The sequence below is a fragment of the Homo sapiens genome, chromosome 3, assembly GCF_000001405.40.
Source record: "Homo sapiens chromosome 3, GRCh38.p14 Primary Assembly".
Classification (NCBI taxonomy): Eukaryota; Metazoa; Chordata; class Mammalia; order Primates; family Hominidae; genus Homo; species Homo sapiens.
Genome location: NC_000003.12, coordinates 8932504 through 8956975, shown reverse-complemented (window position 1 = coordinate 8956975; position 24472 = coordinate 8932504). Strand labels below are relative to the sequence as shown.

Below are 24472 nucleotides of genomic sequence, written 5' to 3'. Positions count from 1 at the left end.
TATGTTTCTTTTTGTTACACAGGCTGGTACCTCAACTACAGTGTTGAAAGTGGTGTGGAGGGACATCCTGTCCTTACTCTTAATTTTTTGGGGAAAGCATTCAGTCTTTTACCATTAAGTATGATGTTAGCTGTAAGTTTTTTTTATATTCTTAATATGTTTTCATAAACCTACCAAGTTGAGGCACTTCTCTACCCCTGGTTAGGCGAGAGGATTTTTTTTTTTAAATCATGAATGGGTGTTGAATTTTGTCAAGTATTTTCTGCAGTTATGGAGATGCTCATATGATTTTCTTCCTTTATTTTGTGACATAGCTAATAACGTTGTTTTTGTTTTGTTTTGTTTGGGAGACAGGGCCTCACTCCCTCACAGTGGCTTTGTTACAGACTGGCTTTGTACTGTAGTCCCCCCTTATCTGTGATTTCAGTTACCTGTGGTCAACTGCATTCTGAAAATACTAAATGGGAAATTCTGGAAATAAATAATTCATAAGTTTTAAATTGCACTCTGTTCTAAGTAAAGCACTGATGAAATCTTGTGCCGTCCTGCCCAGGATGGGAATCATCCCTTTGTCAAGTGTGTTGATGTTACATATGCTATCTACCGTTAATCGTTTAGTGACCATCCTGGTTACCAGATTGACTGTTGCAGCATGGCAGTAATTGTCACTGTGTTGCAGAACACAGTAATTGTGTCAAGTAGCGCTTATTTTACTTAATAGTAGCCCCAAAGCACAAGAGTAATGATGCTGGCAATTCGGATATGACAAAGAGAAACCATAAAATGCTTCCTTTAAGTGAAAAGGTGAAAGTTCTTAACAAGGAAAGGAAAGAAAATTGTATGCTGAGGTTGCTAAGATCTACAGTACCATCTACAGTACAGCACAAGATATTTTGAGAGAAAGACCACATTTACATAACTTTTGTTATAGTATATTGTTTTAATTCTATGTTATTGTTATTGTTCCTAATCTCTTACTGTGTCTTATTAATAAATTAAACTTTATCATAGGTAAGTATGTATAGGAAAAAACATAGTATAAATAGGATTCAGTACTACCTGTGGTTTTAGGCATCCACTGCGCTTTATGGAATGTCTCGCCTGTGTATAAGGGGGCACTACCATATAGAGAAAGATCTTTACTAGTCAGCTTGACTGCAGATTCTAGGGGCTTCGTAAGCCTTTTCTGTGGATGTGTCTTCCCTGGACTTGTGATTATAAATTTCCAAGCCGAGAGATTTGGTCAGTTTTTTCATTAGCTGCTGTTTTTCTCTCTCATGTGTCTGTCCATGGTATTGCAGGTTCTCCAGAGTTGCTGTAAGCCATCAGCCTCTTTTTTTGTTTTCAGCTGCCCTCAAGCATCTAAAGTATGCTGATCCAAAGCACCCCAAGTTGAGTGAGACAGAAACCATTCCCTTAGGCAGTCCTTTGAAAAGTTCAAATGTTGGTCACACACTCCACTATTCTCTCCCAGCCTCCCCTCCCAAGATAAGCCGCAGAGCTATATCAGCCTCTGTCTGCTCTATGGGTCCTGTGGATCAGTAGCAAGCAACCCAGCTTTTTTTTATTCTTAGCAGTCCCCAGTCACCTAGAACATGCAGGGTTCATGCTTAGTGGGGTGAGACAGAAGCCAGTCCTCTGGCCAGCTCTTGGAAAAGCTAGAACATTGGACCGTGTTTCCCTTCTTTCTCTCCCCAGGCAGAAAGTTGGGGGTTTCTCTTCCTTGCTGAGCCTGGGGGAGGCACACTGGCCAGTGAGTGTGGTACTAGTCCAGACCTTTGCTTTTGTTCTCAGTGGCCCTCAACCTGGTTCCCTTTTCTGTCAGTGTATAGATTCAGGCAGCTCAGAAACCAGTTTCTCAAGTAGCCCCCGCAATGTAAGTGCTAGTCTTCTGTTTCTCTCCCTAGGGATACATGTTGTTTGCTCACTTCTTCATGACTTATAGCTGTCACTTATGCCATTCTTTAAGAGGAAGTCAGTGGAGGGAAGTTTCAGTAATGATGATTTTTTATTTTATGAGCACTTTTTTTTCACTTGTGAAGTCTCAGTATTCAGTAGGCCTCTTCTACTAAACACCAGTTGTCACAAGTCCCGTCATGTCTAAAATTTGCTCTGGGTCTTTAGTGTTTTAATGACACAAAACCCCCAGGGCTGTAGTGGAAGCCAGGTCTGTCATGTTCTGGTATCATCTTGGATTGACTAGAATTGGTGATCCAGAATCCTAGGTATTTATTGTTGCTTCTTAGATTTTTCATGATTTATCATTTTTAAATCACTTTATTTTGTTTTGTTCTGTTTAGGTTTTTGGATATGAGTAATAAACACTACATTTGTAGTTCTGCAGGTACAAAGGTGTGAGTGGGGTGCCTTGGCAGAATGCAGGTCAATTAAATTGATCCAAATTTGTGCTATTAAAGAGTATTTTGGGGGCGAGAGGGAGCAGACTTACTCCAACCCATAAAACACCATTAAGTGAGAAATGGTCTTGCTAATAGACTAATATGCCCAAGTGCCAATTTTCTTTGCACTTGCTATAATTTTTCTCACTTCATAATGGAAGATGATCAAAATATTTAGCAATTGGCTGGCTTTCAAACATCAAAAGAGTCTAGCATCTTAATAGTAAAAAGGAAATTTCTAAAACTTAAATGAATCCTTGTCATGTGAAATCTTAAGGACTTTATGAAAGAAGGAACTTTTTAGAAAGAAACATCTAAAGTGTCCAGTTAAAAGCAAAAACCAGTGTGAAAAGAACAGGAGGTCCAAGAAAGCTGAAAAGGTTGGCATCTGCCTCCAGTTCTAATGTTAAGGGACAGTTAGTTGGTAAGAGAATAACATCCCTCCAACTAAAGACTAGCATTTCAGAATTTCCAGAAGTGCAGCTCTGCATAATTATATCTCCCTTTTGTGTGTGTAGCTATTTCTCTTCTCCTCTGCCTTGTTTCACAGTGCTACTTCATGAGAATATAAAAGAAGATAAACACGTTTATTATTTGCCTAATAGAATCTTATGTTGTCTCTTGAATTAGCAAAGGTTTCGTAAGGGGAACATTTCATATTTCAGTTTGTTTTAAAAAATGAAATAAAATTGCTTTTTACTTCTACACAAGCTTTGATTAATTTTTTTTGAGTCAAAATCCACAAAAGGAAAAAAAAAAAAGATTGCTGGCCAAGCTTTAAAATAGTGGTAATTTATCAGTGTCCACAAGCCAATTATTTTATCTAGGATCTTGCTTGGGATTAGAGATGCCCCCTCTCCCAAGGCTTGGATATTTCTGTGAAACTACTCTTTAATTCATTGTTGTTATTGTACCTTCCTCCACTCTGCCCACACATCTTTTTTGGGCTCTCTTGGATGGAAAGACAAATTTCATAGGTGATTTAAATGAAGCCCTCTGGGAATACATGAATTCAAAACTCTTCAGCTGTTCTTCTTTGAATGGAAGGGTTGTCATAGTTGCCCACTAGAGAATAAATTATGCTGGTCTGCAGCTTACCAGTACATATTTGGTAGTAGTCTAGTAGAGTGAAATTAAGCCTAGGGCTTGATCTACTTAGGACTCCATATCTGGTTCTCCTCATTTCAAAAGAAAAGAAGAGGAAAGATATACAAGATTATGCAGAAGAGAAAGCAGTAGCCTTATTATAAATACTAATTTAAAAGGTACATGTGACCTTATTAATTAAATGTTATTTATTGATGTATACATAATATATATAATGTATACTTATATAGGTACAATTACATATATAATAATGTATACACTATATTGTATAAGTATACATTATATAACTATACATAGTACATATTTATATAAGTATACATTATAGTATAAATGTACAGTATATATTTATTATAAACAAATGTTTATAGATATAGTCAGTCCCTGACTTACCATGATTTGACTTAGGATTTTTCAACTTTACGATGGTGTGAAAGCGATACACATTCAGTAGAAACCATACTTTGAATTTTGAATTTTGATCTTTTCCCAGGCTAGAGATAGGTATATTAAATACATTTTGGCTTATGATATTTTCAATTTATGATGGGTTTATCGGGATGTAATCCCATGTTAAGTCAAGGAGCATCTGTAATTTTTAATAATTAATATATTAAGAGTCTGGACTCTGGTGCTTTCCTTTGCCACATATTAGTTCCATTATCTTTGGCAAGTTGGCTGAGCCCTGTGCTTCATTTTTCTTCTTGTCAAATGTGACTAACATTGGTACCAACCTCAGGGTTGCTGTGAGGATCGAAAGAGTTAATACATGTAAAGTGCTTAGAACAGAGCACATACTAAGTGCAGTGTTTATTTGAACCACATGAAATTGCCAATATTTGTCCATTTTTGACTTAACCAAAAATGTCAGTTTCATATAATTCAACTTAATAGTGACAACTTATTAATTTTTTAAAAATTGTTGCCATTGTTGAATCAATATTACATATTAAGAATGTGATTTACTGACCAAAATCCATTGAATCACTATGACTGGGGATACAGCCTGGGAAACTAAGTTAAAACCAGCATAAATCTCCCTAGGTGACTGAGCTGAGCAGCTAGGTTTTAGGATTTCTTGACTTACAGTATTGCTCAGGAGACTTCTTATAGTATAAAGAGAACAGCATTGATAATTAAGAGAATGAGTCTGGACAGGAATTTTTGCCTCAGGATGATTCATACCTTGAGTCTCATCCATATCTGATTTAGGTGATATTTAGATGAGACTTTAGATTTTAGACTTTAGAGTTGGTACTGGAATAAGTTAAGACTTTTGGGGCTGTTGAGATGGGATGGATGTATTTTGCATTTGAGAAGAACATGAATTTGGGAGGTTAAAGGTGGAATGCCTGGAGTGAATTTTATCCCCCCTAAAGTCCTATGTCGAAGCCCCAACCCCAATGTGTTGGTGTTTGAAGATGAGGCCTTTGGGAGATAATTAGGTTTAAATTAGGTCCTGACAGTGGAGCCCTAGTGATGGGATTAGTGTCCGTATGAGAAGAGATACCGGAGCTTATGGTCACTCCTCACCCCCTCATGGGAGGACGCAGTGAGCAGGTGGTTGTCTATAGGCCAGAAAGAGAGCTTTCAGCATAAACTTACCATATTGGCACCTTGATCTTGGACTTTTAGCCTCCAGAACCATGAGAAAACAATTTCTGTTGTTTAACCTGCCCAGTCTGTGGTATTTTGTTATGGCAGCTCAAGCTAAGAAATGCTTTCCTGTAGTCTTTTGTACCATTGCTGTCATTCATTTCACTTATGCATAAGCATTCATAAGCGTGCATTTTTATACGCATATACATAATAAGCATCTATAATTGAATACTTCGTTATTATTTTTGTACAAAGTGTTATCTGTTAAATTAACAAGAAAAAGTTTTTATTACAGTTTCACATATTCCTTCTCCAGTACTCTTCCTTTCTTTACGTAGATTGGAGTTTCTGACCTAAATTATTTTCCTCCTCTCTGAAGAATTTCTTTTAGCATTTCTTGCAAGGGAAGTCTACTGAAAACAGATTCCTTCAATTTGTGTTTGTCTGAGAAAGTCCTTATTTCTCTTTCACTTTTGAGGGATAATTTCTCAGGATATAGTTTTAGGTTGGTGATGATTTTCTCTCAACACTAAATATTTCGGTGCACTCTCTGTGGTTTGTGAGAAGTCAGGTGTCATTCTTTGCTTCTCTGTAGGTAAGGCCCCCACTACAGCTTCTTTCAATATTTTTTCGTTATCTTTGATTTTATGTAGTTTCAATATGATTGGCTGAGGTGTCTATTTGTTTTGTTTTTGCATTTATCCTGGTTAGTGTTCTCCGATCTTCCAGGATAAGTAGTTTAGTGTTTAACATTAATTTGGAGAAATTCTTAGCCATTATTATTTCTTCTGCTCCTTTCATTCTTCCCTTTCTGGTATTCCCATTATGTGTATGTTACATCTTTTGTAGTCATCCTGCAGTTCTTGGTTATTCTATTCCATTTTTCCTGTCTTTTTTTCTCTTTGCTTTTCAGTTTTGGAGGTTTCCATTGACATGTCCTAAAGCTCAGAGATTCCTCAGCCGTGTTCAATCTATTAATGAACCTATCAAAGGCATTCTGTTATAGCGGTTCTTTTTATCGCTAGCATTCCTTTTTGATTCTTCCTTAGAATTTCCACCTCTCTGCTTATGTTCCCATCTGTTCTTGCATGTTGTCTACTTTTTCCATTAGAGCCCTTAGCATATAATTTTTAAAAATTGCTGGTCCGATAATTTCAACATTTCTGGTATATCTGACTTTGGTTCTGATGCTTGCTCAGTTTCTTCAAACTGTGTGTTTTTCCTTGTGGTTTTTTTGTTAATAACTGGAAATGATGTCCTGGGTAAAAGGAACTGCAGTAAATAGGCCTTTAGGTATGGGCAGAGGGGACACATTCTATAGTCCTATGATTAGGTCTTTTAGCGAACTTTGCCCCTGGACTGTGAATGTTACTAACGCTCCTCAGTTTTCCCCTCCTTAGATGGGACAGGATGGCTAGAGGGCTAGAGTTGTGTATTTCCTTTTTCCAGAGTCAGCTGGGCTCTGATAAAACTCCAGTAGATTAGGCTCTGTAAAATAGTTTCTTCTGAGGGAGGGCTTTGTTGAGAACAGACTACTCTGGGCCAGTGCAGTGGCTCAGACCTGTAATCCCAGCCCTCTGGGAGGCCGAGGTGGGCGGTCACCTATGGTCAGGAGTTTGAGACCAGCCTGGCCAATATGGCGAAACCCCATCTCTACTAAAAATACAAAAATTAGCTGGGTGTGGTGTGGTGGCGCACACCTGTAATCCCAGCTACTCGGGAGGCTGAGGCGGGAGAATCACTTGAACCCAGGAGGCGGAGGTTGCATTGAGCCGAGATTGCGCCACTGTACTCCAGCCTGGGTGACAGAATTAGACTCCATCTTGAAGGGGAAAAAACAAAACAAAACAAAAAAAACAGACTACTCTGGCTTATTTAGAAATGGTTACTTTTACCCTCCTACTCCTGGAAGGACTGGGGGGTTTTTCTCCAATATTCACTGTGAGAACTTTGAAGAACTCCTGGAACTAAAACTCACAGAAGTGTGAGGACATCCTCTCCATGCCTGCAATGACAGGGTTCCCTGGAGTTTTTGACTCTCAGACTTGCCCACACTGAGCCGCCAGCAATTCGTCAATTACAGCTCAGGTTCTCCCACCCCAGCACTGGTTCCAGCACAGGTTTCTCCTCTGGTTCCCATGGAGGTTTCTGTTTGTGGGTTTCTGTTCCAGTAAGTTGTGATTGTCTGTATTACCCCCCTCTCTCTCTCCAGTTCGGGGAGAGCAGTTTGCCCTGTGACCCTGCTTTTCTGCTGGATCTACGAAAAGTTGTTGGTTTTTCAGTTTGTTCAGCTTTTTACTTGTTAGGACAGAGTGGTGACTTCCAAGCCCCTTACATGCTGAATCGGTCCCCTGTATTCATCTTTGCTTCCTAAAAGAACTCAACCTGTTGTCTGTTTTATCCTTTTCATAATATGTTTCTTTGTTTTTCCTCCTGGGGTGCTCTTACTTAGGCTGGCAAGACTTGCTTATTTCCTGGATATCCATACCATTGAAATTATGCTGTCTCCTCCTCAACTAAACGAATCCTGAATTTATACAGTGTACTGAAATTGTACTGTCTCCTCCTCAACTAAACAGAATCCAGCTGAATTTGGGCTACTAGTAAATTAGCTTAGGTAATTAGTAAGGTACCATTCTGTTAGTCACATCTGCTTTGTCTTTGACTGGGAGAACATTTACACTGCCTTGAGTGTGGTGAATTTAGTTTGTGCCCATTTCCTGCTTAAATTGTTAGGATATATTATGCGGAATTATGCTGTAATTGCTTCACTATTTTATTAGCTCCTTGAGGTCAAGAACCTTCCTTTATATATATTGTTCTTAGTGCCTGCCACAAAAGTGCTTGTTAAATGTGGGACAGAGGACATTATTTACAGAATTAAGATATAGAAGTCCCTAATGTGATAACCTGGATATATATTTTTTCTTAATATGTGTATATATATTATTTCAAAATTTATATTTTCAAATGATAAGCAGTAGAGATATCTGGCAGGTTTATACAGTACCCAGCCCAAGTGTATGTTTCCTGTGTTTTGCAGATGGAGGACACAGAGTGATGTATGTTGCTTGTGTAGTTGTGGTATCCTAAAGACTTACAATATTTATGTTTTCCTTTCCTTAAAATGCTGTTTAATCACATGTGTAAGTGTGCATAGAGTAGAGGTACTAGAAATTTAAGCTTATGATGATATACCTTAGATGACGGAAATAGTCTAGGGCTTAAGATTTTGTTAGAAGTCATATTCCTGTATTATTAATATAGCTTAATTAACATTATGTTGCACTTTGTGTTTTGCAGACTGCTCTCTCTGTATAAGAAAATTTCTGTCCTATAAAACTCAGTGTCCAACTTGCTGTGTGGTGAGTTTTTGTTTCCTTTTTTTAAAACTTACTGACTGCTGCAAATATTTCTGCTTTGTGTATACGTAAAAGCCTGTGTATATATAGGGTGATGTGTAGTTACTGAATTAAGCTATATGAAAGACATTTTCAGAAAGGACCTCTAAAGTACATGTAAGAAGAGCTGGGCTTTGTTCAGTTTTTTTGTTAAGATTTCTGAAAACCTAAATGTATTTTAGGAAGTAGCACTCTTTAATTCTTATGACCCATGTTTTTATGGCTTCTCATTTTTAATAATTTCTCACTTTGGTAGAAACTCTGGTGGTATGATTATTCATTTGCAAAGAACTGTCTAAGTATTTGTGCAGAAGGTAAATATGCATGGCTGTTGGGCTTAATCCGGCCTATCTGTTCCCTTACATCTTTCCCCTACCAGAGCTTCAGGGAAAACCCTAGAAAGTTTGTTGTTATTGTTTCTGAAACTTTTCAAGTAGTGGGAACAGGTGGAAAAGTAGACTAAAAGGGTAATTAAACATAAGTGGGAATAAAGAAAGAAGAGACAAGTGAGGTCTGACAGAGCCGACACTAGGACTAGGTAAGGAGTTTGGTTAGTTTTGCCTCTCTGGTAGGTATGTGGTGTCAGGGTGTCACTGAACATTTCGAACTATTTCTCTATGTAAGAAATTTTGTGATTTGGCTCTTAAGTCTAAGATCTTTACGATATGTTACACTGCTTTTGACAAGATGGTCTCATCGCTGAGATAAACTGTGTACCATTCATGCCAAATAAGTACTGGGTTTGTCACTTTTCTCTTGCATTCCTGAAAACCAATCTTACTTTAAAATTCTCCTTGAACACTTAGTGCCTCTCCCAGTGTTAGAACTTAAAAGAACATTTCTCTTCTGTTTTTCCGGAGAAATTTCTGAGAAAGCTGAGTGCTGGCATTTTGAAGAAAGATTCTTGCTTATATTAGGTTTGATTGTAGTCAGTACAGAGTATATATGATTATAAGAGAAGCTCTGGAGAGCTTTTATCAGACTTCCAGTCAGCAGATACTGATTCACTGTTTTAAAATTTCATATTAGCATGAGATAAATGAACTTTATTTTGAGGCTGCCTTAGAAGACTTAGTGGGATGGAGAACCTCAGGAGGATGGGTCAGACATTTTCAAAAACAAGATTATGACAAGTTGATTATTGTTTTTGACCTTTTTCCATCTGTTGTTTGTTTTTTCTAGACTGTCACAGAGCCGGATCTGAAAAATAACCGCATATTAGATGAACTGGTAAAAAGCTTGAATTTTGCACGGTATGATTTAATTTTGTGACTAACCTCTAACTACTTTTGCCTTTTATATGTGTTCTCTCTTTACTTTGTGCACCTTTGGATTAGGGAATGCAGGGTTGCATATTTTATAGTCAAAGAAGGGAAGTAACAGTCATTATTCACACATGGAAAATTTACTAGAGTAAGATTTTCTTCCTTTACTTAACAGAAATTCTCCTGTAGTATAGAATAATTAAGAGTTAAAACGCAGATTTGAGGACTTCCTTACTTTTGGGTGCTCTGAAGATACTCCTTTTCCTGCCCAAGCCCTAGAATCAGCCATTTCTCCAAGGAGCTCCTCTTCTTGGAGAATAGTATTTAGAGACCAGGATCTGGTGCTGGGTATGCTTGTTGCTACTGGGGTGTCATTGCTTCTAGGCCCTCTCAATGGACAGAGCTAAGTAATATATGTATGTTATATATATGTATGTACTAACTCATGTATATACACATATCTATAATTGATTCTGTCTGCTATATATTAATCTGTTAATTCTTAATCGGATTTATTCAGCATGTATTAAATGGTATGGCATTTGAAATATGTAATTGCTTGTACTTTATAAAGCTCAGATATGCAACTTTACTTCCTGTCAAATGCATGAATGTGTGAAAGTGAGTTTGGTCACCCAAAGGGATATGAAAAGGCATGTTTCAATATCTTGGATTACTTTTAGTTTTAATCATGCAAGTCAAACAAGAATTTTTATGAAGGACGTACTGGTTTAGATAGTGGTCAGGTGCCCCTGTAGTTAAGTGTAATCATGTGTTGCTTAACAGGGATGTGTTCTGAGAAATGTGTCATTAGGCAATTTGGTTGCTGTGTGAACATCATACGGTGTACTTACACAAACCAACATGGTATAGCCTACTACACTCCTATTCTATATGGCAGGGCCTATTGCTCCTTGGTAACAAAACCTGTACAGCATGTTACTATAGCTAATACGGTAGGCAGTTGCAACACAATGGTACCTATTAGTGTATCTAAACATAGAAAAAGTACAGGGAAAATATGGTATAAAAGATAAAAAATGGTACATCTTTATAGGGCATTTACTATGAATGGAGCTTTCAGGACTGAAAGTTACTCTTGATGAGTCAATGAGTGAGTGATAAGTGAATGTGAAGGCCTAAGGCCCTTACCATACACTACTGTAGACTTTATAAACACTGTACACTTAGACTACACACTAAATTTATAAAAAAGTTTCTTCAATAATTAACCTTACTGTAACTTTTACACTTTGTAAACTTTTATATTTTTTTAACTTTTTGACTCTTTTGTAATAACACTTAGCTTAAAACACAAACACATCGTATAGCTGTATAAGCATCTTTCTTTATATCCTTATTCTGTGAGGTTTTTTCTGTTTTTAAAAATTGTTATTATTTTTTCCTTTTTAAACTTTTTCTTAAAAATGAAGATGGAGGCCGGGCTTGGTGGCTGACGCCTGTAATCCCAGCACTTTCGGAGGCCGAGGTGGGTGGATCACGAGGTCAGGAGATCGAGACCATCCTGGCCAACATGGTGAAACCCTGTCTCTACTAAAAATACAAAAATTAGCTGGGCATGGTGGCACACACCTGTAATCCCAGCTACTTGGGAGGCTGAGGCAGGAGAATCGCTTGAACCAGGGAGTTGGAGGTTGCAGTGAGCCGAGATCACGCCACTGCACTCCAGCCTGGCGACAGAGTAAGACTCCGTCTCAAAAAAAAAAAAAAAAAAAAAAGAAGATGGAAACACACACATTAGCCTAGGCCCACACAGGGTTAGGATTATCAAGATGTCACTTAGCAATGGGAATTTTTCAGCTCCATTATCGTCTAATGAAACCACCACTGTGTATTTGGTCTCTTGTTGAACAAAGCATGTTGGAACATTCTATGAGGTACCTTATGTTGCTTTTAAAAATATAAACAGATTTCTTTCAATAGAATTACACATTTCTTTATTGGTTTGCATTCTAAAAACGATCAAATTTAGTACAGTTGTCTCTCAGTAAAGGGGATTGGTCCCAGGACCCCTGAGAATACCAAAATCTGTGGATGCTGAAGTCCCTGACATAAAATGGCATAGTATTTGCATATGCACATCCTCCCTTATACTTTAAATCACCTCTAGGTTACTTATAGTCCTAATACAATGCTATATAAATCGTTGTCATACTGTGTTTTTAAAATTTATATTATTTTTCATTGTTGTATTGTTACTTTTATTATTTTTTGAACATTTTTGCTCTGTGATTAGTTGAATCCACAGATGCAGAGCTGGTGGATGGGAAGGGCCGACTACAGTTTATTGTTTAGCCAAATGGTTCTAGACTGCTGTTTACATGTTTCTGATCAGAACAAGCATTGCAGGACTTTAGTTACAGAAGTCCATGGAATTGATTGCATAGATTTAATGGCTGCCCATGTCTACCCAAAGGCCTATTTTGACTCTTGATTCTTAGCCCCATTCTGAAGAGGTAAGGTTATTGTATAGTTAACAGATGGACAAGACTTTTCCTTCCTTCCTTCCTTCCTCCCTCCCTCCCTCCCTCTCTGCTTTCCTTTCTTCCTCCCTCCTTTCCTTTCTCCCTCCCTCCTCCTTTCTCCTTCCCCTCTCTATTCCTCCCTCCCCCGTCTATTCCTCCCTCCCTTTCCTTCCCTTCCTCCCTTTCCTCTCTTCTTCTTGCTCTGTTGCCCAGACTGCAGTGCAGTGGCATGATCATGGTTCACTGTAACCTCGAACTCTTGGGCTCAAGGGATCCTCCTGCCTCTGCCTCCCAATTAGCTAGGACTATGGGTATGTGCCACCATGTCCACACTGAAGAAATAAACAAAGCTTCCTTAAATATGTGGTAGAATTTACCAGTGAAGCCATCTGGGCTTGGAGTTTTCTTTGTGGAAAAGTTTTAAATTATAGCTTCTGTTTCTTTAACAGATAATAAGGGCTCTTCAGGTTTTCTGTTTCTTTGTCAGTTTTGATGAATAGTGCTTTTCAAAGAATTTGTCCATTTTATCTAAAATTTAAAATTTGTTGTTTTAAAGTGTTCATAATATCCTCTAATTATCTTCTTTATAGGATTTGTAACGAGGTCTTCTTTTAATTCTTTGTTTTGGTAATTTGTATTTTCTCTCATTTATTTCTTGTTCAGTCTTAGTAGGGATTAACAGTTTTGTTAATTTTTTCAAAGAACCAATGTTTGGCTTTGCTTGTTTTCTCTTGTTATCTCTTCTATTTCACTAGTATCTGTTATTAGTTTCTCTCTTCTTTGGGTTTAGTTTGCTGTTCATTTCCTAACCTTTTAAGTTGGAAGCTTAGAGTGGTGGTTTTTACTTTTTCTATTTTCAATAATTTTCCCTCCAGGGACAGTTTTGGCAACCCTTCATGCTATCGTTCAGTTTAGAATATTTTTCTAGTTTTCATTGTGATTTGACATGCGGGGTTATTTAGAAGTGTGGTGCTTTATTTCTTAACATTTGGAGATTTTCTAGTTATTTTTCTGTTGTTGCGTTTCATGTAAATTCGGTAGTGGTGGAATCTATGGGTTGATTTTTTTTTTCTATCAGATTTGAAAATTCTCAGCCATTGGTTTTTCTAGTATTGCTGATTTCCCATTCTTTCTTTCTGTTCCTTCTGGGCTTTTAATTATGCCCAATATCTCATACTTTTTTGTGTTTGTCTTTTTCATTCATTTTTCTCTCTGTGCTTGGTTTGGATATTTTCTATTGACCTGCCTTCAAGTTTGTATTGTGTGTTGTTATACTCATCCAATTTAGATATGGTATTTTGCAGTTGTAGAATGTTCATTTTATTCTTTTTTATGGATTTTATTTCTCATAATACACTATCTTTTTATCCCTTTTCTTTTTTTTTCTTTAACATGTTTATCATAGTTTGAAGTCCTTACCTAGAGATGCTATTCTTTGGATTACCTCTGGGTCTGCTTCTATTGAATATTTTATCTCTTGATTAGTGGCTACTTTTTCTTGCTTCTTTGCATGTTCAATAATTTTAAAATATGTGCTGAACATTGTGGTTGAAACGTTGTAGAAGCTGTGAATTGTCTTCTTTTGAAAGATGTCACATTTTGTTCTAAGAGGCAGTTAAATTATCAGCTCTTCATCTTTGTTCTGTCAAGGCCTGGTATAATGTTTTCTTAGGTTAGGTCTGTTTGAGCTTTGTTTATATTTCTTCAGTGTGGTCCATTTTTCTAAGGTGTGGTCTTTGTGGGGTGTCACTTGAATGTCCATGATCTTACCAAGATTTCTCAGCTTTGGCTGGGCTCCAATGCGAACAACTAACTTTCCAGCACTGACGTTTGGGATTTTAATTTACCAGTATCAGCTTCCTAGTGGGTCTCCTGTGTTTTTGTCTAATCATGTGCAGCCCTGGAAATGAGCAGGAATGGATGTGAATTTCTAAGCAGACTGGTGGGGTTCCCTTTCAGTAGCTACCACGTGTCAAAGCACTCTGACCCCTCAATCCTGGCCAGTTTTGTTCAGAACTCTGATCTCTTATTTTCTCTAACAAGTAAGATCAATGTTTCCTGTTTAGACTTCACTTTAGTACCCATTCCTAGAAAATGCTCCCAGGGTAAAGTAAGTCTTGGGGGAAATGTTGGACTACTTCATGTTTTCTTCTTTTTCAGGGATTGCAGCCTTGTGTTGATTTCAGTCCAGTGCCTACAAAGAGTTGTTTTTTATGCAAGTTAGGCCATTCTTACATTGCTATAAAGTAAACTTGAGGCTGGGTAATTTACAAAGAAAAGAGGTTTAATTGGCTCATGGTTCTGCAGCTGTACAAGCCATCTGCTCGGCTTCTAGTGAGGTCTTGGGCTGCTTACAGTCACAGTGGAAAACAAAAGACGGGCAGCATGTCATGTGGTGAGAGTGGGAGCAAGAGAGACAGAGTGGGAGGTGCCACACCCTTTTAAAACAGATCTCATGAGAACTCACTCACTGTTACAAGGACAGCACTAAGGGAATGGTGCTAAACCATTCATGAGAAATTCGCCCTCATGATCCAGTCACCTTCCACCAGGTCCCACCTCCAACACTGGGAATCACATTTCAGTGTGAGATTTGGTGGAGACGACATCCAGACTATATCAGTATATTTTGTTCGGATTTTAAAGTTACTTATGGTTGGAGATTAGGTCTCATATAAGCTGTTCTCTGTGGCCTAAAGCTGATTTCCTTTCATTTTGTTTTATTGACACATTAACTGCCTTTTACGTTAGATTTATTGCTTTGAGTTATACTAGAAGAAACTTTGGTTTGGTTGTCATTATAGTATAGGTCCTGTATTTCAGAAAACAAGGTTAATTGGGAAAACAGCTTATGTCAGTTAATTTATGATGTAAAATTGGATCTCTTAATTGTCTGTTGTGTTCTTTGTGCTTCAAGGAATCATCTGCTGCAGTTTGCTTTAGAGTCACCAGCCAAATCTCCTGCTTCTTCCTCTTCAAAGAATCTTGCTGTCAAAGTATATACTCCTGTAGCCTCCAGACAGTCTTTAAAGCAGGGGAGCAGGTTAATGGATAATTTCTTGATCAGAGAAATGAGTGGTTCTACATCAGAGTTGTTGATAAAAGAAAATAAAAGCAAATTCAGCCCTCAAAAAGAGGCGAGCCCTGCTGCAAAGACCAAAGAGACACGTTCTGTAGAAGAGATCGCTCCAGATCCCTCAGAGGCTAAGCGTCCTGAGCCACCCTCGACATCCACTTTGAAACAAGTTACTAAAGGTAGGAAGTTATTTTCATATGTGGAAATATGGACATCTTTTCATCCACATGACATAAGAATAAATAGGCAGCATCTTTGAGGGGGAAGGAATGGTAAAGGACAAACCAGATTTTACCATATCACAAACCTCAGACATTGTTGTAGATATGTTTGTTCTCTTTCTCTCTCAGAAACAGGAATTCAGGCTGACTGCTACAAAAAGGAAACAATTTTAATTAGTTCAGCCTTCAAGTATGGCAGTAGCTTTCTGTTTTCAGCTTTTAATCTTTCTTCCCCTCATTCAACATATCAGTTCCCATTTAATCTTGAAAAGCTCTTTTTATCTTATTTTACCACCACTTGAATGCCTCCTCACTGTTCTGCCTGCCATATAAAGCCTGTGACAATTTGAGGCCTAACCTAGTCATCCCGCCTTATTGCTCACCTCTCTGTCTCAGAAGTCCTGCTCTAGCCTCCCCACTGTTCCTCCAGTACACTGAGGAATTGGCAAACTACAACTGGCAGATCTAATCTGGCTTGCCACCTGTTTTTGTAAATAAAAGTTCACATACCCACCCTATTCTCTGTGACTGCTTTCATTCTACAGTGGCAGAGTTGCATGGTTGTGACAGAGGCCATAGGATCCGTAAAGTCTAAATTCTACCTGGCCCTTCACTAAGAATGTTTGCCGGCCCCTGTTCTATACCTTTCCAGACTCTATCCAGATCCTCACTATTCATTTGTTATGTTAGAAAACACTGTCTCACATCACAAAAGTGCTATAGCACTTGTTTTCTGGACTGTTTTGTATCCCATTTGCTTAACTGTTTGATGAATATGTCAGCTTGTTTAACTTTTTGTTTCTGTATCTTCTTTCCAGTGAAGTTTAGAGCACCTTTTAGGCAGAAACTCTTAGACATCTTTGGTATACCCATACCACACGTAGTGCAGAGATGTGAGTGTGTATTAAACTTAGATTGAAATTAGTTTATTAGTACTTAACGTGTTTACATCTTTTAAAGATATATAAATTTCACTTATATTTTCTACTATGTCTATCCTTAGTCTTTTTACCAATTGACAGTTCTTATTGTAGTATTTTTTAGCTTGATGGTTAACTGTTTTTCCCCTAGCGGAACCTTTTTTCCCAAATGAAATTTTACGATAAACCATAACGTATAAAATAGATAAAACAGATTGTTCTGTTCCACCTGACCTCCTTCTGCCTATTATCCATGGTGGTCTGTAGGCCCCGAGATACCCCCACAGATCCCTGCAACTTTATGAAATAGTTTGAGAATGACTGTGTTCCTTAATTTTAACATTATATATGGAATCATCAGTGAGAGCTAAATTAACAAATTTGTAACCATTGACAAAATTGAACTCAATAAATTATTAAACTACCTTTCCTTCACTCGGCCCTTGGGCCAGGTGTGTCTTACTTAAGTCGTTACTATTGCTTCTGGGCTAAACATGGATAGCTCCTAAGGGTTGGGAAAATTTAAGATGAGTTCTATAGTTTGGTCATACCTTGGTAGAAAAGATGTAACCGAAACATTTTTAATAAATGAACTTTCAAGCTTATTTGCAGTCTCTTTCTCTGGGACCAGGACTTCAATTTTGTGACTTCCCACAATTTAGCCATTACCCAGTAACCAGTCTGTCCCACTCCTGTTGTCCCGATGGGCCATTCTTTTTCTTTTCTGCTTTTCTAAGTGCATGTTAAGTTGGGATTCTTTTTTACTTTACTTGCTGAAAAGATGCCAGTTTACATACTTTTGCCCCTTCTACAATTAATAAAGTCTCTCTTTTTCTTTTTAAAAAATACAGTGGATTGTCCTGTTTGCGGGGTTAACATTCCAGAAAGTCACATTAATAAGCATTTAGACAGCTGTTTATCACGCGAAGAGAAGAAGGAAAGCCTCAGAAGGTAAGGAAGTTGAGCAGAACCATTGAGCTACTTTAGCTGGGTGCCTCTTGTGCTTACTTGGGGGAAAATTACAGTATTCCTTTTATCCTGGTGACCGTATTTCCTGCTCTTACTTGCTTTCTTCTTTACTCCTGTTGGCCACTTCTTCCAATCCCTCTCCTCTGTTCTTTCTTCAACTCCCACTTTGCCAAATATGATTAGCTATATTGAATATTTGAACTGCTACTAAATTTTGACTTAATAAGAAATTAGTGACTTCAAATTCAATTCTTTTTAAACTTGTTTTTTTCTCTTAGATTTTAAAAACTACCAAAAAGCCTCTTGGCCAAAGAAAGCAAGGTTAGACTCTGAATATAAGATATAAAAAACCTTTCTCTGATCTTTAGGATGCTCAGAAGTTTTAAAATTTAAAATTGAATTTTTCAAAAAATTTTGACTAGGAAATTATATAAATATATATGATATAAAAAGGTACAAAAATGCATATATGAAATGTAATGTCATACCCCACACCACCCCCCCATCCTCCAGGTATTGTAGCTAATAAATTGTCAGCTCAGTATTTACATCTAAACAACTGTGCTGTTCTACCTCCCTTGTACATGAAAATAACTGTAATTTCTCATGCTAGTCCACTATTGTTACACATATAAGTTGTTCAGGAATGAAATACTAGTCAAACTTAAATTGCAAGGCATTACGGAATCAGTGGATAATAAGCAGAAGACACAATTTAGATGAGTCTGGTGATGAAGGGAGAAAGATGAGATGGTAGTTTGGAGAAGCAGTGAGTGGCATAAAGATCAAGGGTTGTTCTTTTTAAAAATAGGAGTTTAAGCCTTCAGTCTCTTTCCTTCCACTATTTCCAGGGAGAGAGCAGAGGATAAATGGAAGAAAGTGAGGAGCACAAGAGCCCAGTAATGAGGTTATCCTTGACATGCAGAAAGGACCCTTCTGAAACAGGAGGCAAGGGCAAGATAATAGGTGATAATTCAGAGAGATTTGGAAAAGAAGAGGAGGGAAGCTGAAGAAATTAATGGTATCTGAGAAGTGGGGATGAAAGAATGATTTGCTTCTATGTTCAGTCTGTTTTGAAGGACTTTGAAGAGTATTTTCCAAAAACCATGTTAATAAGACAGAGCCATAGTATTATTTTTTGTGATTAAAGAAAATACATCACTTAATTTTTATGAGTAAATTTGGAGTGAATGCAGATTCTGAGGGTCAGATTCATACTGTTACAACTTACAAAAGCTAACATATAAGACACAATGGTGCTTTATTAAGGTAGACATACTTGAGTCCAAACCTGGGGCAGTTTTACATGCACAGTACTCCCACCTAGTGGGTAAGTTTGTTAATGAGAATAAAATTTAGATTTTTAGGTTGCTTAGTGGTGATTTGGAGTAAATGAATAGTCCTAAGGATTATTTCCCATAAGCCACGAGAGTTTGATGAACTGCTTTTCTCTTTAGAAATGCATGAGTTGGGAATATAGAAGCTGAGTATATTCTTTTGGAAGAGTAAGGAATCTGCACTGATTATCTTGCATGGACTCCCCTTTTTCTAGATCCATCCATCAGTTCGAATACATTTCTGATACATCATTTCTGATGCTGTCAGTTTGTTTGAAGACATACTCGTCCATGTGTAATTAAGTTCTAATAGTGGTTTAAATTCCTGCTTCAAAGAACACTATAGTCCTGCCAGTGCTCTGTAGTGAACTTATAAGCACTACCTCCTGGATCCCCCTCTTAGTGTGTTAAAGGCTTTGAGAAGTCCTACATTAAGGGTTACTGTTAGGTTTTGTTTAATTTAGTAATCCTAAATTTATTTGACCGCCAAGCCTTTCTGTTCTCATCACTTCCATCTTACAAAACTGGTGTTTGTGGAGATTCTGAAGACAACACTGGGCCATGTTCTTCTTTAGTTGTATCTTGGCCACGGAGTCAGGTCATAGAGAAAAGGCCCTGTGAGTTTTCCTGTCTCCTCCACAATATTCTGACAGGCCATCTGCTGAATGTGAGTGGCAGCCCTTAACCCTTCTATATAAAACCATGTCAGAACTGCCTCAGATTCTGAGGCCCCTTAAATGTATTACTCAGTTCCACTAAATCATGGAAGAAAAATCAATGTCATTTTCGTGTTTGGGGAAACATTTATCAGGTTTCATGTTTTAAAATTCCTGATAGAAATTGTTGATCTCTGGTGGTGCTTTTTATTGTAAATGCCAGTGAACAGTACAGTTCTTCACTGGAATTTCACAGTCACAGTTTAATCATCTGTCCTTGATAAAACAAATATTTTAGATACAGACGTAATGAATCATCTCTCCCTGTGTGCTTCTGTAAACACAAAATGATTCAGCTGTTGCTACCTACTGAGATTTCATTTTGCCATAATTTTATCAACCTTGTAGAGTCAGATGGGTTGTCATTGTAAGAAGAGCAATTTTCAGAAAAATATAATCTATTGAGAGTTTGCAGGTCTTTTCACAGTTAATTAGTTATTTCTGGCTTTTAGACTTTGTTAATACAGCATAAAAGACATAATTTATTTGGGGAATGGCTCTGTTGGTTAATAGAGAAATTTTTGATTGTTTTCAGTCTATACCTGACTGTAATATTTCTCTGTTTGATTATTGGACCGTTTATATCAGATTTACTCTGGAGAACCTTGTTGAAAATAGAGATTTTAGAGCTCCACTTCAGACCTGAACCCTAATTGGTGGATGGTGTGGAGAAGGGGATGGAGAATCTGCGTTTTAAATAAACTCTTTAGGTGCTTCTTAGGTACACTAACGTTTGGGACAGCCTTGTGTGAGCTAGTTATATGCAAATCCTTTGTAAAAACTTGTTTTTTGGATAAACCTATTATTTCAAGTTTCTGTTAATTTTCACCTGAATCTTTGCTATTCTTATTTTGAAATGATAGCAAGTGTAATGACCTCCTTGAGCACATTTTTGTTAAGCATCTAATTGCCATAAAGCTGAGCCAGGTAGAGAACCTGCTATAATCAGGTGAAATGAATTAAAACTCACTAAGAAGTTCCTGTTTATGGAATTGCTTAAGTCATTGGTACTTTTATGTAGCTTGAATTTTAGCCCACTAGAATTTCTAGCATGCTTTAAAGAGGTGGAAAATTGAATAGGTCTATGTAAGTGTGATTCTAAGTGAAGTCCTCACAGCATATTCCACAAGCGTTACATATATGTCTTCTAAGTGTGCCTCTTTAGGTCTGACCTCTTTTTGAGACCCAAGTCTCTCACTTCTGGTGCCACCTAGGCCCCTGTGTCTGAATGTCTTACCAGCACCTCAGATACATCATGTCAGACACTCAACTTTATCCACAAACTTGATTTTTCTCTCCCCTTTTTAATCTAATGGTTCTACTATTTTCCCGGTCACCCAGGTGTTGAATCAGAATTTATTTGCCATTTTACATGAAAAGCATTTGATAATTCACAATAATCATCAGGTATCTTCCCCCCTTTTCAGTTCTGTTCACAAAAGGAAGCCGCTGCCCAAAACTGTATATAATTTGCTCTCTGATCGTGATTTAAAGAAAAAGCTAAAAGAGCATGGATTATCTATTCAAGGAAATAAACAACAGCTCATTAAAAGGCACCAAGAATTTGTACACATGTACAATGCCCAATGCGATGCTTTGCATCCTAAATCAGGTAAAGTAATAAAACAGTGAGTTATGCTTACTTTCTGGATAAAGCAATTTTGTGTAGCTCAGAAATTATAAACCATAGAAAAATATTGTAAATAAATACATTTTTGATAGATAAGACGTGCAAATGTGTTCCTTCAAAAGGTACCTAGAGTATGCTATGATAAGCCAGCCTTCCTCTCAGCCTGCCTTCCAATCCCCAGATCCCTTCTCAGAGGCACCCCATTGCCAGTTTCTCATGTGCCTATCTAGGGAGAATGTGGTGGGGAAGAGTGGATCTGGAGAGCCTGGGTTACAGTGCCCGTTTTTCAGCTTTGTGGCTTGGTGACTGTGGGCACGTTACTTGATATCTCTGTACCTCAGTTTTCTCCTTCATAAAATAAGGGTTATAATAACTACCCACTTCATAATGTTGAGTGAAATAAATGATAAAAGGCATGAAAAGTGCCTAACACAGTACCTTAGCAAGTAGTTAGCTTTCAGTAAATGTTGCCATTATGATTATTGTACACAAACATATATCCTTTTCATTACTGTTTTTACAAAATGATAGTATTCTGTGTAGTGCACTATTTAGTGGTTGGTTCTTTTCATTAAACCACACACATACATTGGAGTTCTTTCTATTAACATATAGAATTGCCTAATTTTTAAAAACTTGGAGAATAACATGCAAACATTAAAACACACAAATTATAAGTGTATTGTTTGGTGAATTATCACAAACTAAATTTCATAAAGTGAAATGTCATTGTAGCCAGTACTGAGATCACTACCAGCGTCCCAAAAGCCCTATCTGCCCCCTCCCATTCACTCCTTCATTCTCACATTTGACCACTGTCTTGACTTCTAACCCCATATGTTCATTTTGCCTATGTTTGATCTTTAAATAAAGGGCCAATAGCTTATGTATTCTTTTGTGCCTGCCCTCATTTGTGCAACATTATAAGATTCATTCATGTTTTTTTATATGGTCATGTTTTTTTCATTTTTGTTGCTATATGGTATTCCATTGTATAAACGTATCATCTTATCCATTCAGTGTTTAATAAACATTTCATTTTGTTCCCACTTTTCCTCTATTAATAATGCTGCTACAAATAATCTTTTATATATCTTGTGGTGCACATAGGTGCATGTTGCTGTTGGATATATATATACAGGAATGGAATTGGTGTTATATATTTGCAGATATTCAGCTTTCATGGATACAGCCCCAAATTCAGTAGTCATGTACACTTTCATCAGGAGGGTGTGAGGGTGTCAGTTGTTCTGCACCCTTGACAACATCACCACTGTTAACTCTCCATTTTAGCCATTCTAGTGGGTCCATGGTAGTACCTTGTTATTTTAATTTGCATTTCCTTAATGACTTATAAATTTTATATGCTTGTTGGCCATCTGGATGTCCTCTGTAGTGAAATACCTGTTTAAATCTATGTCCAATTCTTCTGTTCTGTGGGCCTATTTTTATTCTTATTTGTGGGAGTAATTGAAATTTCCTGGATAAAAATCTTTTGCTGGATGTATGTACATTTCTAATTTCACCTTTTCACTCTCTTAATGGCATCATTGAAGAGTAGAAGTTCCTAAAATAGTCCAATTCATTACATTTTTCCTTTTGATCAGTGCTTTGCCTTAGCCTACTTCAAGATCATGTGGATCTTCTCTTGTTTTCTTTTAAAACTTTATTGTTCTTGCTCCTAAATTTTGATGTACGGTTTATCTGGAATTGATTTTAGCATATGTTGTGAGGTAGAGGACAAGATTGTCTTGTTTTCTTTCCATATGAATAACCAATTGATGCAGCACCACTCATTGAAATGCCATCCCTTCTCCCACTGAATTGCCAGAAGTCTTGGCTGAGAATCAGCTAATTGTACATGTGTAGGCCTGGACATTGTTTTGTTCCATTGGGCTATTATTTACCGTTGAGCAGGATAAATAATGTGTGTCTTAAGTACTTTATGAGTAATTTATAATAGGTCTTGCTGTCTGGTAATATAGTTCTTCCAGTTTTGTTTATTGAGGTTGACTTGTTTTTTCTAGGCCTTTTGTATTTCCATATAAGTTTTTAAATTGGGATTACATTGAATTTATAGATCAATTTTGAGATAGTTGATATCTGTATAGTATTTGAGTCTTCCAATTCATGAATATGGTTTGTCCCCTTTTTTGTCTTTGATTTTTGTCAGTAATGTTTTGCAATTTTCAGTGTGAAGGTCTCACACATCTTTTTAAAGAGTTATTCTCTGATATTTTTGATGCAGTGGTACACGATGTTTTATTCTAAAATGTCAATTTTTATTAGTTGCTTGTACACAAAAATACAACTGGTTTTTCTATAGTTTCCTTATATCCAATGGCTTGTCGCTTTTTGTATGTGCCCTTTTTATTGATGTATAACTTACTCACATGTAATACATCCTTTGAAAGTGTATAGTTAGATGAATTTAGGCAAATGTATATTGTCATTTAGCCATTGCTCTAACTGAAATGTAGAACATTTCCTTCATCAGCAAAAGTTCCAGTGCCCCTTTGCTGTATATTCCCTCTCTTTTACTCTAAGACCTCAGGAAACACTGATCTCTTTTTTTGTCCCTATAATTTTACCTTTTCTAGACTGTCACATAAGTGGAATTACACAAATTGTATAGTATGTAGCATTTTACATATGGTATCTGTCACTTAGCATAATACTTTTGAGATTTTTCCATGTTGTTGCTTTTACCAGTAGTGCATTTATTTTTTATTTTATTTTATTTATTTATTTATTTTTGAGACAGAGTCTCTCTCTGTCGGCCAGGCTGGAGTGCAATGGCGCGATCTCGGCTCACTGTAACCTCCGTCTCCCAGGTTGAAGCGATTCTCCTGCCTCAGCCTCCCGAGTAGCTGGGACTACAGGTGCCTGCCAGCACGCCCGGCTAATTTTTGTATTTTTAGTAGAGATGGGGTTTCACCATATTGGCCAGGCTAGTCTTGAATTCCTGACCTTGTGATCTGCCCGCCTCTGCCTCCCAAAATGCTGGGATTACAGGCATGAGCCCCCGTGCCCAGCCAGTGCATTTATTTTTTATTGCCAAGCAGTGTTCTGCTTTATAGCCATGCCACAATTTGTATATCCCTTCACCTGTTGATGGACAACTGGACTGTGTCCAGTTTTTTTATTATCAGTAAAGCTGTTATGAACATGGGTTCACAGGTCTTTATGTAACCATATGTTTTCATTTCTCTTGGGTGGAGTGGAATTGCTGGTCATATGGTAAATGTAACTATAAGAACCTGCCATACAGTTTTTCAAATGACTGAATCATTTTGCATTGTGAGAGAGTCCCACTTTTGCCACACCCTTGCTAACACTTGGTATTTTC

The 24472-nt window shown here is 37.4% G+C and overlaps 1 protein-coding gene across 2 annotated transcripts in view, besides 1 other annotated feature; it reads left to right on the top strand.

Moving 5' to 3' along the window:
- The window catches only part of RAD18 (RAD18 E3 ubiquitin protein ligase), an 86398-nt gene that overhangs the window by 6497 nt on the left and 55429 nt on the right, over nucleotides 1-24472 (top strand). Inside the window, exons 3-7 of one of the 2 annotated variants that reach the window (NM_020165.4) lie at nucleotides 8406-8467; nucleotides 9686-9756; nucleotides 15172-15509; nucleotides 17323-17422; nucleotides 20921-21105. In NM_020165.4, the coding sequence (NP_064550.3) occupies nucleotides 8406-8467; nucleotides 9686-9756; nucleotides 15172-15509; nucleotides 17323-17422; nucleotides 20921-21105 (756 nt within the window). Of the gene's footprint in view, nucleotides 1-8405; nucleotides 8468-9685; nucleotides 9757-15171; nucleotides 15510-17322; nucleotides 17423-20920; nucleotides 21106-24472 lie in introns of those variants that run through there. The other variant, XM_017006873.2, reaches the window with a different exon arrangement.
- Nucleotides 1337-1631: a silencer, noted in NCBI's record as "tiled region #4351; HepG2 Repressive non-DNase unmatched - State 15:Elon". NCBI's record gives its function as "represses a minimal TATA promoter and a strong SV40 promoter by Sharpr-MPRA in HepG2 cells {active_cell/tissue: HepG2}" and the evidence as "EXISTENCE:reporter gene assay evidence [ECO:0000049][PMID:27701403]".